The sequence below is a fragment of the Homo sapiens genome, chromosome 7 (assembly GCF_000001405.40).
Source record: "Homo sapiens chromosome 7, GRCh38.p14 Primary Assembly".
NCBI lineage: Eukaryota > Metazoa > Chordata > Mammalia > Primates > Hominidae > Homo > Homo sapiens.
This window is the reverse complement of record NC_000007.14, coordinates 73,195,476-73,208,542: the sequence shown is the minus strand read 5'-3', so window position 1 is coordinate 73,208,542 and position 13,067 is coordinate 73,195,476. Positions and strand designations below refer to the sequence as shown.

Below are 13,067 nucleotides of genomic sequence, written 5' to 3'. Positions count from 1 at the left end.
TTGCACCACTGCACTCCAGCCTGGGCAACAGAGTGAGACTCCGTCTTCAAAAAAAAAAAAAAAAGAACAGAAATACACTGCCTGTTCATTAATTAATGCAGGCAGCTAAGGCCTCTTCTTTTTTCTTTTAAGAGACAGGGTCTCACTGTCACCCAGTCTGGAGTGCAGTGGTGTAATCACTGCAGTGGCTCAAGTGATCCTCCCACCTCAGCCTCCCTAGTAGCTGGGACTACAGTTGTACACCACAGCACCTGGCTTAAATCCTTTATGTGTGTGTGTGTGTGTGTGTGTGTGTGTGTGTGTAAAAATATGTGTATATACCTGAGGCCAGGATTTTGAGACCAGCCTGGCCAACATGCTGAAACCCCGTCTCTACTAAAAATACAAAAATTAGTCAGGTGTGTTGGTGGGTGCCTGCAATCCCAGCTACTCGGGAGGCTGAGGCAGGAGAATTGCTTGAACCTGTGAGGTGGAGGATGCAGTGAGCTGAGACTGCACCACTGTGCTCTAGCCTGGGCAACAGAGCAAGACTGTCTCAGGAAAAAAAAAAAAAAAAGAAAGGAAAAAATGTGTTATGTACACACAGAATTGTTGTAATGGATTGAATCATGAATATCCTTGGCAAGTCTGTGACCTCACAAATGAGTGTGAAACCAGTAACTGAACGGAGATTCATGGCAGAGCTGGGCTTTTGCCAACGGCAGCCTTGCCATGGCCCTGATTCTCCAGGATGGGTGCTGGGAGGTGTGGCTGAGGGTGGCGCGGCAGGACACATTTTAAGAACATGTTAAAAGAACTGTGAGATGCTATCAGAGAAGCAGTCTCCTCCCAGGTTAGCAGGCAGGTGAATCGTGAGATCAGTTTCCCTTTCTGGCACACGCGGATAGGGCACGGCAGAGGCAGGGACCACGCTGAGAACAGAAGAGCCTCAGAGTCAGTGTGTGGGCTCAGGCAGGAGGGACTGCTGCATGAGCTCTCGATGGCAGGGGCTTTTGGCACCCAATGTCGTATGTGAGCGGCTCTCCATACACAGCTGGCATGGCCCAGATGGAAGGGTGGGGGCCCTGGCCCGCTCAGAGGAGATGGGCAGCAGCGGTCTGAGAAACACCGCAAGTGGCGCTGTCCCCGGGAGGCCCGGCGGGCTCTGCCCAGCGCCAGCCTCGGCCTTGGTCTGCGTCCCACCTACGCCGAGCCACCCCCAAGCTTCCCCAGACAGGACCATGAAAACAGCCGAGAGAGCAATGACTTAGTGTGTGAAAGGCATGGATGGATTTTATTGATTACCCTATATCTACAATTTGAGGTAAAATAGAAGCAACACATAAAAGGGCCTATTTCTGCTACCATGTCATATAATTCTCCATTGTGAATATTGTGATAAAGCTACTGAAAACTATGCCGTCACAGAGCCTAGCTTCTTGTAGAGCTGGTATTTTACAACTCGCATTGCTTGTGAAATCTCAACACATGTAAGACTCTCCTAGGAAGGCGCAGAACGTCAGAGGTTGCATCCTTAGCCCCCTGACCCCTCCTCACTCCCCGCGCTGGCACCTCAGGGTTACAAGAAGAACTAGGAAATAATGCCGGCCACGGCGACCCCTGGAGAGGGGGCCGGCTAGAACAGCGTTCCTAAGAATCCGCGCCACAGCAGGTCCCGCGATGTTGGGGCCTTAGTGTCATCGAGCTAGCCCCAATCCTCAACCCGATCTTCAACTTCTGGTACACCATGCATTTTATTTGGACGAAAAGTAAAAGTGGAAGAGGTTCTCTCTGTATTTCCTCTATAATTCACACGCTGAGATACTGACCTCTGACTGTTAGGTGATCCAGATGGTTTTGCTTTTAATTATGATAAAAAAACATAGGAACCATGAGAGATAGCTTAGGAAAAGGTTTAGTCAAATATACAGATAGGAACTGTTCACTCAGTCATTAAGGAGAGCCGTGAACAAAGGATCATTTAAATGATTTTTTTTTTTCAAATAGAAAAACTAAAGAACTGAACTATCACAGGAATTTTTCTTCACTGCAGAAGCTGAGATGTTCCAGTAGGAGAAGTAGGAGATATCTTCACTTGATTGGAAAATAAACACCGTAACTCAAGGCTCTGCTGAGTACATAAAAAATCTGGTGAGATTCATTCCTGTCATTTTCCCTGTCATTTCCCAGCATTGCTGTAAAATCCTGATAGTACATTCCCAAGTACACCAGCCATTCCAGACCCACAGTCACTCTGCTCTTTAATTCACAGAACTGCTGAAAAAGTAGACATTTCTATCTAAAAGTAGAAAAAAAGGTTTGTATAGAAGGTATTTCTGTTATACAAGTATATTACACAGCTTGGGGTAGTAACAGGTCCGAAAAGCTCTTCTCAACCACTGATACTTTAAGCTAAAATAGGAGAGAAAACAAACAAGCAAGCAAAGAGGTTAATCTAATTACAGGAATTTAACAGTCACGAATATCACAACTTAATTTGCAAATTCAGGTAACAATGACTTGGATTCAGAAGCACTCATAAAGCGGGATGAAACCTTAAGTCCATGAGCTGACAGGGTAAGGCAAATTCCAGTACAAGTCTCTGGATTAAAAAAAAAAAATCCATTGTCAAAGTTTCCTGACTTCGGGTCTCAAGCTACTGCTCCTATTATAACTTGGCCAAATTTAAGAAATCTGGACTAACAGGATCAGACTTGTTAACTCTGCAAGATGAACAAAAGATCTGCAGCTCTGTGAGACTCTGCAAAATACTATTACTATGGAAAAAAAAAAGTCAGTCTAATGATTCTGACTCATAGTGAATTCCAATGAGGAGGACAACGTTGACTCTATTTAGAAACAGAACATTCTTTTTAAGGCAAAAGTGCTTTTACATCTTTGACTGAGAGACATATATTGATCCAAGGAGAATCTCCCTGTAGAATCTTCTAGCTTAAATATCCGGGAAGGCTCCCACCTGGCTCCCACATTCCCTGAAGGCAGGGCCACCATCTTATGTGAAAGTGGGGAGATCACATTAGCTACGCGTATGCAGGGGGTTCAGATGGACGCCACACAGCATCCCTGACACAGAAGCTGATTTACCCTAGGAGGGAAGAGGTCTACCACGTGGGGTCTGGTTCTTGCTTGATCTGAGAGCTTCCATCAGTCTCTTTTATTTCTATCAACAGAAACAAAACGGTACCGATTAATTATTTTGCAGACCTGCTCAGTGATAAATCCATTCGTACCAAACTATTTACTAAGATATGGTTTAATAAGAAGGACAAGACACCAAACATCAAAAGAGCTTCAGAGAGACATCTCTTTAGCAATACATTCAAAATTTTGTTACTTATGTTTTCAAAGTAACATACATCTTCTGGCTTACATGCATTTAAAGGACACACTTAGGTTATCTAGGTTATGTAGCAGAGTCATTCACGGAGAATTTACCAAGTCATCTGGGGAAAATGGAGCAAAAGCAGCTATGCGTCATCACTCAACAGCATAACCTGCAAATCCAATTCACCCAGAAGAAAGAGAGCAAAACCACCACCCAGTTCTAGTGAAATAGTTTAAATGCACAATCCTTTGTCCTGATAAAAAAGTCTTGGCTGGGCAAGGTGGCTCGCGCCTGTAATCCGAGCACTTTGGAGGCCAAGGCTGGCAGATCACTTGAGGTCAGAAGTCTGAGACTAGCCTGGCCAACATGGTGAAACCCCGTTTCTACTAAAAATACAAAAATTAGCCAAGCATGGTGGTGCAGGCCTGTAATCCCAGCTACTCGGGAGGCTGAGGCAGGAGAACTGCTTGAGCCCGGGAGGCGGAGGTTGCAGAGATCGCGCAACCTCACTCCACCCTGGGTGACAGAGCAAGTCTCTGTCTTTAAAAAAAAAAAAAAGAAGAAGAAGAAAGAAGAAGTCTTAAGGACTTGCAGGACCACCCCACCCTTTTACCTTCTGTGGCTGGAACTTCCAACTGGCTTGGTTCAGCTGATTCTAAAGAGAAACACAGAGACTGATTTCCACATTGTTCAACAGCTGCTTTATACTATGTAAAGAACCCAGGAGGAGGAAGAGGAGAAAAGCCCTCTAGACTCTGTACAAACACAGGTGCATGATGAAACAATGCTCACGGTCTTGAGATGGAGCACACGATTATCCAAGTGTACTTTCAAATTTCTGTTTTTCAAATGTGGTCCTAAGTTCACATATACAACTGAAGTTTGAAAGAGCAGAGTCTTAACATAGCTCTACCATGAAAACAAGCTCCTTAGTTATGCTTTCTCCCTTATCCTTCTGTTTACTCCCTTTAATAAAAGCTTTTCATTACTTTTTTTGTTTTTCTTCGTATGTTTGTTTTTTTGAGACAGAATCTCCTTTCTGTTGCCCAGGCTGGAGTGCAGTGGCACGATCTTGGCTCACTGCGACCTCCGCCTCCCAGGCTCAAGCGGTTCTCCTGCCTCAGCCTCCTGAGTAGCCGGCACACGCCACCACGTCTGGCTAGTTTTTGTATTCTTAGTAGAGACGGGGTTGCACCATGTTGGCCAGGCTGGTCTCGAACTCCTGATCTCAAGTGATCTACCCTTCTCAGCCTTCCAAAGTGCTGGGATAACAGGCGTGAGCCACCGCGCCCAGTCTCATTACTTTCAATGACTCACACAGCACCAGGCCATTCCACTTGTTTTTTAAGGAATTTTTTAAGAGCACAATCTGTACATTTCTACTGAAGAACATTTTGCTCACTGACTTATGGCAGACATTAGAAATGGATGGCAGAGTCAGGTTAAAGTGACGGCCCTCTTGCTCTGCCATTTCATCCTACCCATTAATCCTGGGGTTCCTGATGTTAGGCCTGAGCTGGGATAGGGGGTGCAAATGGTCTGCAGCCCCCAGTTCTCAATCAGGACCCACAGCTTGAATTTATGTTTTGATCAGCTGTCAAACCCAGGAGTGAAAACCACAGAGAAGCATGTGTGTGCTGTGTAACTGAGTCCCCTCAGGGCAGGTGACTGAGAGCCAAAGCCACACGCAGGCACGCCATGTGTGCCACTGTGCAGGCAGGAGTAGCTCCGGGCCCTCCCCTGCCTCGCTCACCTTGTATCACGGGGCCTTTTGACTCACTCTGATCAACCAGCTCTGAAAATGAAGCAGATTGGTTTAAATAATGTAAGGATGTGTTGTTCCCTTGGAAAAGCATTTTAACATACATTTGCTGTTTCCCTCAAGATGAGAAGGAAACAAACCTCAGAGTTCTGATATGTCCCTCAGAATCACTAATTCACAGTAATTACCATAAAACTCTATACCACACTACCGCACAAGAACAGGAACAAAAGAGAACATTTTATTTATTTATTTATTGGGACAGAGTTTTGCTCTTGTTGCCCAGGCTGGAGTGCAATGGCACGATCTCAGCTCACTGCAACCTCCACCTCTAGGATTCAAGCAACTCTCCTGCCTCAGCCTCCTGAGTAGCTGGGATTACAGGCACGCGCCACCACACCCAGCTGATTTTTGTATTTTTAGTAGAGACAGGCTTTCACCATGTTGGACGGGCTGGTCTCCAACTCCCAACCTCAACTGATCCGCCTGCCTCAGCCTCCCAAACTGCTGGGATTACAGGCGTGAGCCACCACGCCTGGCCTCACTTTTATACATTTTTAATAATAAAGTTAAGAAAACAAAACACACTCGCAAAATTAAGTTTGGCTCAAAATACTATTGAAAATGACATCAACGTTAAGGAATTGAAAGGACATTTGTTCACTCGCTCAGCAATATTTGAGAGCCCCATGTGTGCCAGGCACTGTGCTGAAATACTAACAGAAGCAGGCACATTGTGACTTACTTTGTAACGAAATCCAAGCACAGTAATTATAACAGTCATAAAAGCAGTAATAAATATAGATTGTATTCGCTGAGCACATACTGTAGGCTAAACACATACTAGAGGCTAGACACTGTTCTAGGTTAGGGGGATGCAAACTCTTTTCTTGCAGAGCCAATTAGTAAATATTTTAGGTTTTGCAGGCACACACTTGCTGCTGCCATCTCTCAGTTCTGCCATAAACAAATGGACACGATGGTGGTTTCAATAAAACTTTATGCATACACGTCGGCAGGAGCTTGCTGACACCTGTTCCAGATGCTTTCCATCTACTGGAACGACTCCCCCAAAATCGGTGCTATTATTACCATTTTATGATTAAGTGCATCGAGGATAGGAAGTTAAGAAGCTTGAATAATTTTACAACTAGGAAGTGCCTGGTGTTTTTACTGAGGGCTAAAACAAGTATTTGGCCTGGTTACTGACATAGGTGAAGTAACGTGATATACGTTAAGCATGTATACACACTCACACGCACACACGTCAGACCCCAGGAAAAAACAAAAACAAAACACTTCACAAAATACTCACGGTTATTAATCACAAGTCCTGGAAATGGTCTAAAGAGAGAAACAAATTGTAAAGTATAACAATTTATTTTCACTCTGTAAGAATTTACAGGTATAACTGTTTATTCAACTCATATCTAGCCCACGTCATTTACGTACTACAATGAGAAGTATTATCCATGACCTTATAAGCTTATGGAAGAGATAGATACGTATCAATAATAAGAACACTGTTAGAAAGTGTTAAGCTACTAGTAAATGGAGGAAAAACAAAAAATAGAAACGCAGAGCAGGGAACAGAGTGATTCTAAGTTTAACATACGGAAGAACGGAAGGGGCTTTTTGCCTAACTCCTGGGAGTGATATGGAGAATGACCGTGGGTGAAGTGGAACCAAAATATGAGATTTTGAGGGAAAGAAGATTGGAAGAAGACGAGTGTATGAGAAGCCTCAAGAGGATTTATTATGAGATTTCTGAGTGCCAGTCCCAAGAGACCTGAACTAGAGACAGTGGCAATCTGATGATGAAATGATTGGGTAGGTTGAGTCGTAGCTGTTTCTGGGGGGCTGGAAGACAAAGGGGAAGATAACCTGGGGTTGGTGCTCAGGTGGGCATCTCTTACGGTGACAAGGACGTGGGAAGGAATGTGGCACTCACAATGGTGTCAGAGGTGAGTACAATCATCATGCCTGCTCTATGGGAAGGAGCTGACACTCTCAGTGGGAACAACGATCAATCTCATTTACAGACAAAGAACAGAGTGACCTGGCTAACAAATGGCTGATGCGAGGTTGAATCCGTCTGACCCGAAGCCTGTGACAAGGCGCCCTAAGACAGAGGTTGACAAAGTTCTTTTTTTCTTGTGATGGAGTCTCACTCTGTCGTCCAGGCTGGAGTGCAGTGGCATGATCTTGGCTCATTGCAACCTCCACCTCCTGGGTTCAAGCGACTATCCTGCCTCAGCCTCCCGAGTAGCTGGGATTACAGGCACCCGCCATCATGCCCAGCTAACTGTTTTATTTTTGTAGAGATGGGATTTCACCATGTTGGCCAGGCTGGTCTGGAACTCCTGACCTCAGGTGATCTGCCTGCCTTGGCCTCCCAAAATGCTGGGATTACAGGCGTTAGCCACTGTGCCTAGCTAAGGTTTTTCTACAAAGTGCTAGAGAGTAAATATTTTAGACTTTGGAGGCCATGCCTTCTCAGTCCCAGCTACTTACTCACTGTGACAGGAAAGCAGCCATGGATAATACGGGTGTAGCTGTGTTTCAGGAAGACTCTAAAAATAGGAGGCAGCCTGAATTTGGCAAACAGTCCTAGTTTGCCAACCCTTTGCCAAAGAATTAAAAGAGTCAGCTTAGTTCGTAGAAGCACATCTGACATTCTAATGATGACACAAGTTATTTTGATTTGTTGATTGCACAGCATAGGAAGCCGGATTCGATGACTACCTGTGGCTGCATTTTAGAAGAGTCAGCCTCATGAGCTCCAGATTCGCTCCTGTGACTAAGCAGGAAACTCTCACTTACCTAATGACCGTGAATTTGATAAACTCGGCAGAGTCTAAGATCCTTCTCATGGAGCTGATTTCCAGGTAGCTGGGGGCTTTGAAGGACACCCCCGGGGGCATGCCATCAACCACCACACAGCCAGGGTTAATTGTGATTTTCCTGTAGGGAACTTTCACAGGAAAACCCATACCAATAGCTTCACCTACAGGGACAGTGAGACAAACAGCACAACAGCACAGATTAACCCACCGCCTTAAACAGCCTGTCAAAAGCACAAGATCAACATTTATTTTAAAGACTGTCTCTGCTGTTAACTAAGGTCTTTGTACACTTCAAACAAATTTAAATATGAACCTTAAATTTTTTTTTTTTTTTGAGACAGAGTCTTGCTCTGTCACCCAGGTTGGAGTGTGGTGGCTTGATCTCAGCTCACTGCAATCTCTGCCTCCCAGGTTCAAGCAATTCTCGTGCCACAGCCTCCTGAGTAGCTGGGATTACAGGTGTGCACCACCATACCCGGCTAATTTTTTGAATTTTTTAGTAGAGACAGGGTTTCACTATGTTGGCCAGGCTGGTCTCGAACTCCTGGCCTCAACTGATCCACCTGCCTCGGGCTCCCAAAATGCTGGGATTACAAGTGTGAGCCACACTGCCAGATGGTGAACCTTAAATTCATTAACTTTCATACTGACAATCAATAGTGTAACACTAATGGTATCTTATTAAATAAATTTAGCACAAACAACTCACTTTTAAATTTTAACTCCTTTTATATAGGATTACAACCATCTAACCATCATCTGCTGAAAAGATCTTATTAAAACAAATCTCTTTGCTTATAGCAACTGTACTTTGCAAATGCAAAACTTACCAAATTTCCGACTAAAGAGGTCATTCACTTGTTCTCTTAGCTGTCTAGCTTTTTCAACTTTCGAGAGTCTTTCATTATCATCATCTGAAACAGTTCAGAGAAAACCCAAAACTTAAATACTACTTTTTTTTTTTTTATGGTAAAGAGATGGTATCTCACGATGTTGCCCAGACTGGCCTTGAACTCTTGGGCTCAAGCGATCCTCCTGCCTAAGCCTCCCAAGTAGCCGAGACTACAGGTACAAGCCGCTGCTCAATGATGCACTTTTAATCCCAATTTTTAGGAGCTCTGTGTAATGTTTTCAAGCATTTTCCATTTTTTAATGATTTAAGTATTTGAGCACTTTGAGCTAATTAAATTTGAAATTGTTTAAAATAATGCCTAACTAAAAATGCTACAAATTTATTCTTGTTATAAAGACCTTTACCTGCTGTTTTATATAGATTTTTTTTTTTTCCCAGATGGAGTATGGCTCTGTCACCAAGGCTGGAGTGCACTGGCCCCATCTCGGCTCACTGCGACCTCCACCTCCCGGGTTCAAGCACTTCTCCTGCCTCAGCCTCCCAAGTAGCTGGGATTACAGCCACACACAACCAGGCCTGGCTAATTTTTCTTGTATGTTTAGTAGAGTCAGGGTTTCACCACGTTGGCTAGGCTGGTTTTGAATTCCTGACCTCAAGCGATCCTCCTGCCTCAGCCTCCCAAAGTGCTGGGATTACAGGCGTGAGCCACCGTGCCCGGTCTCATATAGACTTTTTTTAAGGAACAGACTAGACATTTGGGTGGTTAACAGGATTTAGCTCATGCCAAGTGCCAAAACTTGCCGTTGCTGTTTGGAGAGCAACTGTATTTGGAAGGCAACTGCTGTAGGAGTCTGGGAGGAGCACCAGGCAACGTGTAATGTATCCGAGTCCCCGGATGAGCTGAGCAAACCTCTCTAGTTGGGAAAGTCCAAGAGGCCCTGAAGAGACCCCCAAAAACTCTGATGGAAGCAGAGAAATCATACCTGGAATTGTCACCTGAATGATGTTAAGGTCTTCAACACCTGATGCAGTAGTATTAACATTGGGTGATGAATTTATTTTTCCTGAAAATATACATTTAAAATCAGAATTTGTAGAAAACACGGTCAACATCTCTAATAATCATGCTGTCTGAGACTGTTTTATCTCAGTCCTGTTCAAGGTTCTTTCTTTCCATGGTAGATCATTTCAAGAAGACATGATGCCCCCTGAAGGGCTGCCTTTCACTGTTTTTCTCTTCCTGGGGGTACTTAGGAGATCATCACACACTCACAGAGCCACCCAATTATTAAATAACTAAAAATTGTGAAATAGCCTGAACTACAACTTTGAATGGGTTTTCTTTTTTCTTTTTGAGATGAGTCTTGCTCTGTTGTCCAGGCTGGAGTGCAGTGGTGCGATCTCGGCTCACTGCAACTTCCGCCTCCCGGGTTCAAGTGATTCTGCTGTCTCAGCCTCCTGAGTAGCTGGGATTATAGGCGCCTGCCACCACGCCTGGCTAATTTTTTATATTTTTAGTAGAGACAGGGTTTTGCCGTGTTGGCCAGGCTGGTCTCAAACTCCTGACCTCAGGTGATCCACCCACCTCAGCCTCCCAAAGTGCTGGGATTACAGGCGTGAACCACCATGCCTGGCCTCAATGGCTATTCTTTAAACAATGTTTGTAAACCACAGCTGCACAATGCATGCCTAAGAGCGTGTGTTCTATAGCAATGAAAATACAGAAAATACACTCACTGGGAGGGCTCTTAGAGGAGGTGCTCTCCTTAATCGCCGTCTCAAACATTTCGGGCCTATAGACAAAAGAGAAAAAAAATGTGCTGATCAAACAGTAAAACTCTAACATTAAAATTTAAACAACTCAAAGATTTACAAACCAGTAACTCTGTAAAGTCTAAATTCAATTCTTAGTCATGAAGAACAGAAATCACATGCTTATCTAAAGAACCACAGCCAAAAAGACAAACCACAATTGTAAATTTAACATCCATTGCTGCCTCTCATTGGCTGCCCTTCCCCTACACTGGTTTTATTGGCATCTTCTTTCCAAGGTTAGAATGTATCCTGAAAAGAATCAGCGCCAGAATTGAGGATGGAAAGAGAAAACGCCCCACAAACGCAGCATGGAAACACAAGATGGGCTGTGAAAACAGGAGCACTTGAGGCTCTCACTCCGGAAGCAGAAGCAGAGGGCTTAGAGGCTGCCAAACCTCTGCAGACCTGGCCAAAAGCATAAAAGGTGGCCATTGGCCGGGCGCGGTGGCTCACGCCTGTAATCCCAGCACTTTGGGAGGCCGAGGCAGGCGGATCATGAGGTCAGGGGTTTGAGACTAGCCTGACCAACATGGTGAAACCCCTTCTCTACTAAAAATACAAAAATTAGCTGGGCATGGTGGCACATGCCTGTAATCCCAGCTACTTTGGAGGCTGAGGCAGGAGAATCGCTTGAACCCAGGAGGCGGAATTTGCAGTAAGCCGATATCACACACCACTGCACTCCAGTCTTGGGTACAGAGCGAGATTCTGTCTCAAAAAAAAAAAAAAAAAAAAAAAGTGGCCAGCTTTGCTTGAGAGCATCCCTGGGTGACTCAAAATTAAGCCTGACACCAAGCAAATGAAACCTAAAATTCATTTCAATTGATTTCAAATAATTCATGTGCATTAGCATGTACTATAAAATTCCAATTATTCTTATTTCTTTTTTTAATTTTTTTTGAGACAGAGTCTTACTCTGTCATCCAGGCTGGAGTGCAATGGCACGATCTCCTCCGCCTCCTGGGTTCAAGTGATTCTCCTGTCTCAGCCTCCCTGAGTAGCTGAGATTATAGGTGCCAGCTACCACCCCTGGCTATTTTTTTTTTTTTTTTTTTGTATTTTAAGTAGAGATGGGGCTTCACCATGTTGGCCAGGCTGGTCTCGAACTCCTGACCTCAAGTGATCTGCCTGCCTTAGCCTCCCACAGTGCTGGGATTTATGGCCGCACCCGGCCCATTCCTATCTATTTCAATTATGTTAGCCTAATCCACAGATGTTCAAGCAAACAGGAGAAATTGAAAATATTCTATTAAGTTGGAGAAATAAAAGGACTTGAAAAACTAAACAGCTGCTCAGATTCCAGCAGCATCAAATAGTAACAACATAGCTGTGTAGATTTAGCAACTAAAAGTCGTTATCTCTCTAGTATGGTGGAGTCCTCCTTCCCTTCTACCAGCAGCATAAGGAAAATTTCTTCTTCTTTTTTTTTTTTTTTTGTTTTTGAGATGGAGTTTTGCTCTTGCTGCCCAGGCTGGAGTGCAGTGGCACGATCTTGGCTCATTGCAACCTCTGCCTGCTGGGTTCAAGTGATTCTCCTGCCTCAGTCTCCCAAGTAGCTGGGATTACAGGCACGTGCCACCACGCCCAGCTAATTTTTGTACTTTTAGTAGAGATGGGTTTCATCATGTTGGCCAGGTTGGTCCTGAACTTCTGACCTCAGGTAATCCACCTGCTTTGGCCTCCCAAAGTGCTGGGATTACAGGTGTGAGCCATCGCACCTGGCCAGAAGTTTTAAACATATACAAGAGTGCAGCTTAAAAAGCAGTTTTTCTGACTCCAGAGCTAATTCAGCCCTGCCACAAACACAAACCCACATACCCATCTCCCAGTGTCAAACACAATCAACTCATGCTAATCCCACTTCATCCAGTTTCCTTACTTTTTAATGATGAACTTAATTTTGGCTTTGTTTCTGAGTATCTTCTCCAGCCTCGGAATGCCAAAAGTCGATGGTCTTCGGAATGGCACACCCTCAGGTAAGCCTTCCACATAAAAGTCTTCCGGGAAAGACTCAAATAACGCGAACGGCACCTTCACAGCTTGTTTAAGGCCAAGAGCTTCCCCTGCAAAACAGCCGCGTACACGAAACAGAACATGGGCGAAATGACGCCATTCAATCCCGAAAAACCCACACGTTGCCAATGACAGGGATACTCCAACGCTCAGTATCCCACTCTGCTCCCTCCTACTCCCATGAAGGCACCCTGCGTGGCAGTAAGAAGGTTTCAAAATAGACTTACCACATTTCTCATTGAAGAGATTTTCAACTTTCTGTTTTAGGTCCGTGATTTTGGCATTCCAGGCCTCTGCATATAAAACATAAGAGAGTTAAATTGCAATACTTATCACAGTACTTATCAATACACATTCACAGGCAGGAGTGTTTCATCTTATTTGTGCATCTTATTTTTTTTTTGTTGAGACAGAGTTTCGCTCTTGTTACCCAGGCTGGAGTGCAATGGTGCG

The 13,067-nt window shown here is 44.4% G+C and overlaps 1 pseudogene across 1 annotated transcript in view, besides 2 other annotated features; it reads right to left on the bottom strand.

Moving 5' to 3' along the window:
• Nucleotides 1-13,067: part of a biological region, named in NCBI's record as "Williams-Beuren syndrome centromeric block B recombination region", that runs on past both edges of the window. NCBI's record gives its function as "recombination_partner: LOC106029312".
• Nucleotides 1-13,067: part of a non allelic homologous recombination region, noted in NCBI's record as "sub-region SSN3-SSN6, recombines with sub-region SSN3'-SSN6' within the WBS medial block B recombination region", that runs on past both edges of the window. NCBI's record gives the evidence for it as "EXISTENCE:restriction fragment detection evidence [ECO:0001124][PMID:12796854]".
• Nucleotides 1,247-13,067, bottom strand: part of GTF2IP4 (general transcription factor IIi pseudogene 4) — a 52,373-nt pseudogene continuing 40,552 nt past the window's right edge. Inside the window, exons 14-24 of the transcript NR_003580.2 lie at nucleotides 12,842-12,907; nucleotides 12,481-12,664; nucleotides 10,524-10,579; nucleotides 9,770-9,850; nucleotides 8,764-8,847; nucleotides 7,911-8,094; nucleotides 6,403-6,431; nucleotides 5,079-5,120; nucleotides 3,939-3,980; nucleotides 3,085-3,160; nucleotides 1,247-2,391 (exon numbers count right to left, since the gene is read on the bottom strand). The product of NR_003580.2 is annotated as a general transcription factor IIi pseudogene 4 (transcript). The remainder of the gene's footprint in view (nucleotides 2,392-3,084; nucleotides 3,161-3,938; nucleotides 3,981-5,078; nucleotides 5,121-6,402; nucleotides 6,432-7,910; nucleotides 8,095-8,763; nucleotides 8,848-9,769; nucleotides 9,851-10,523; nucleotides 10,580-12,480; nucleotides 12,665-12,841; nucleotides 12,908-13,067) is intronic.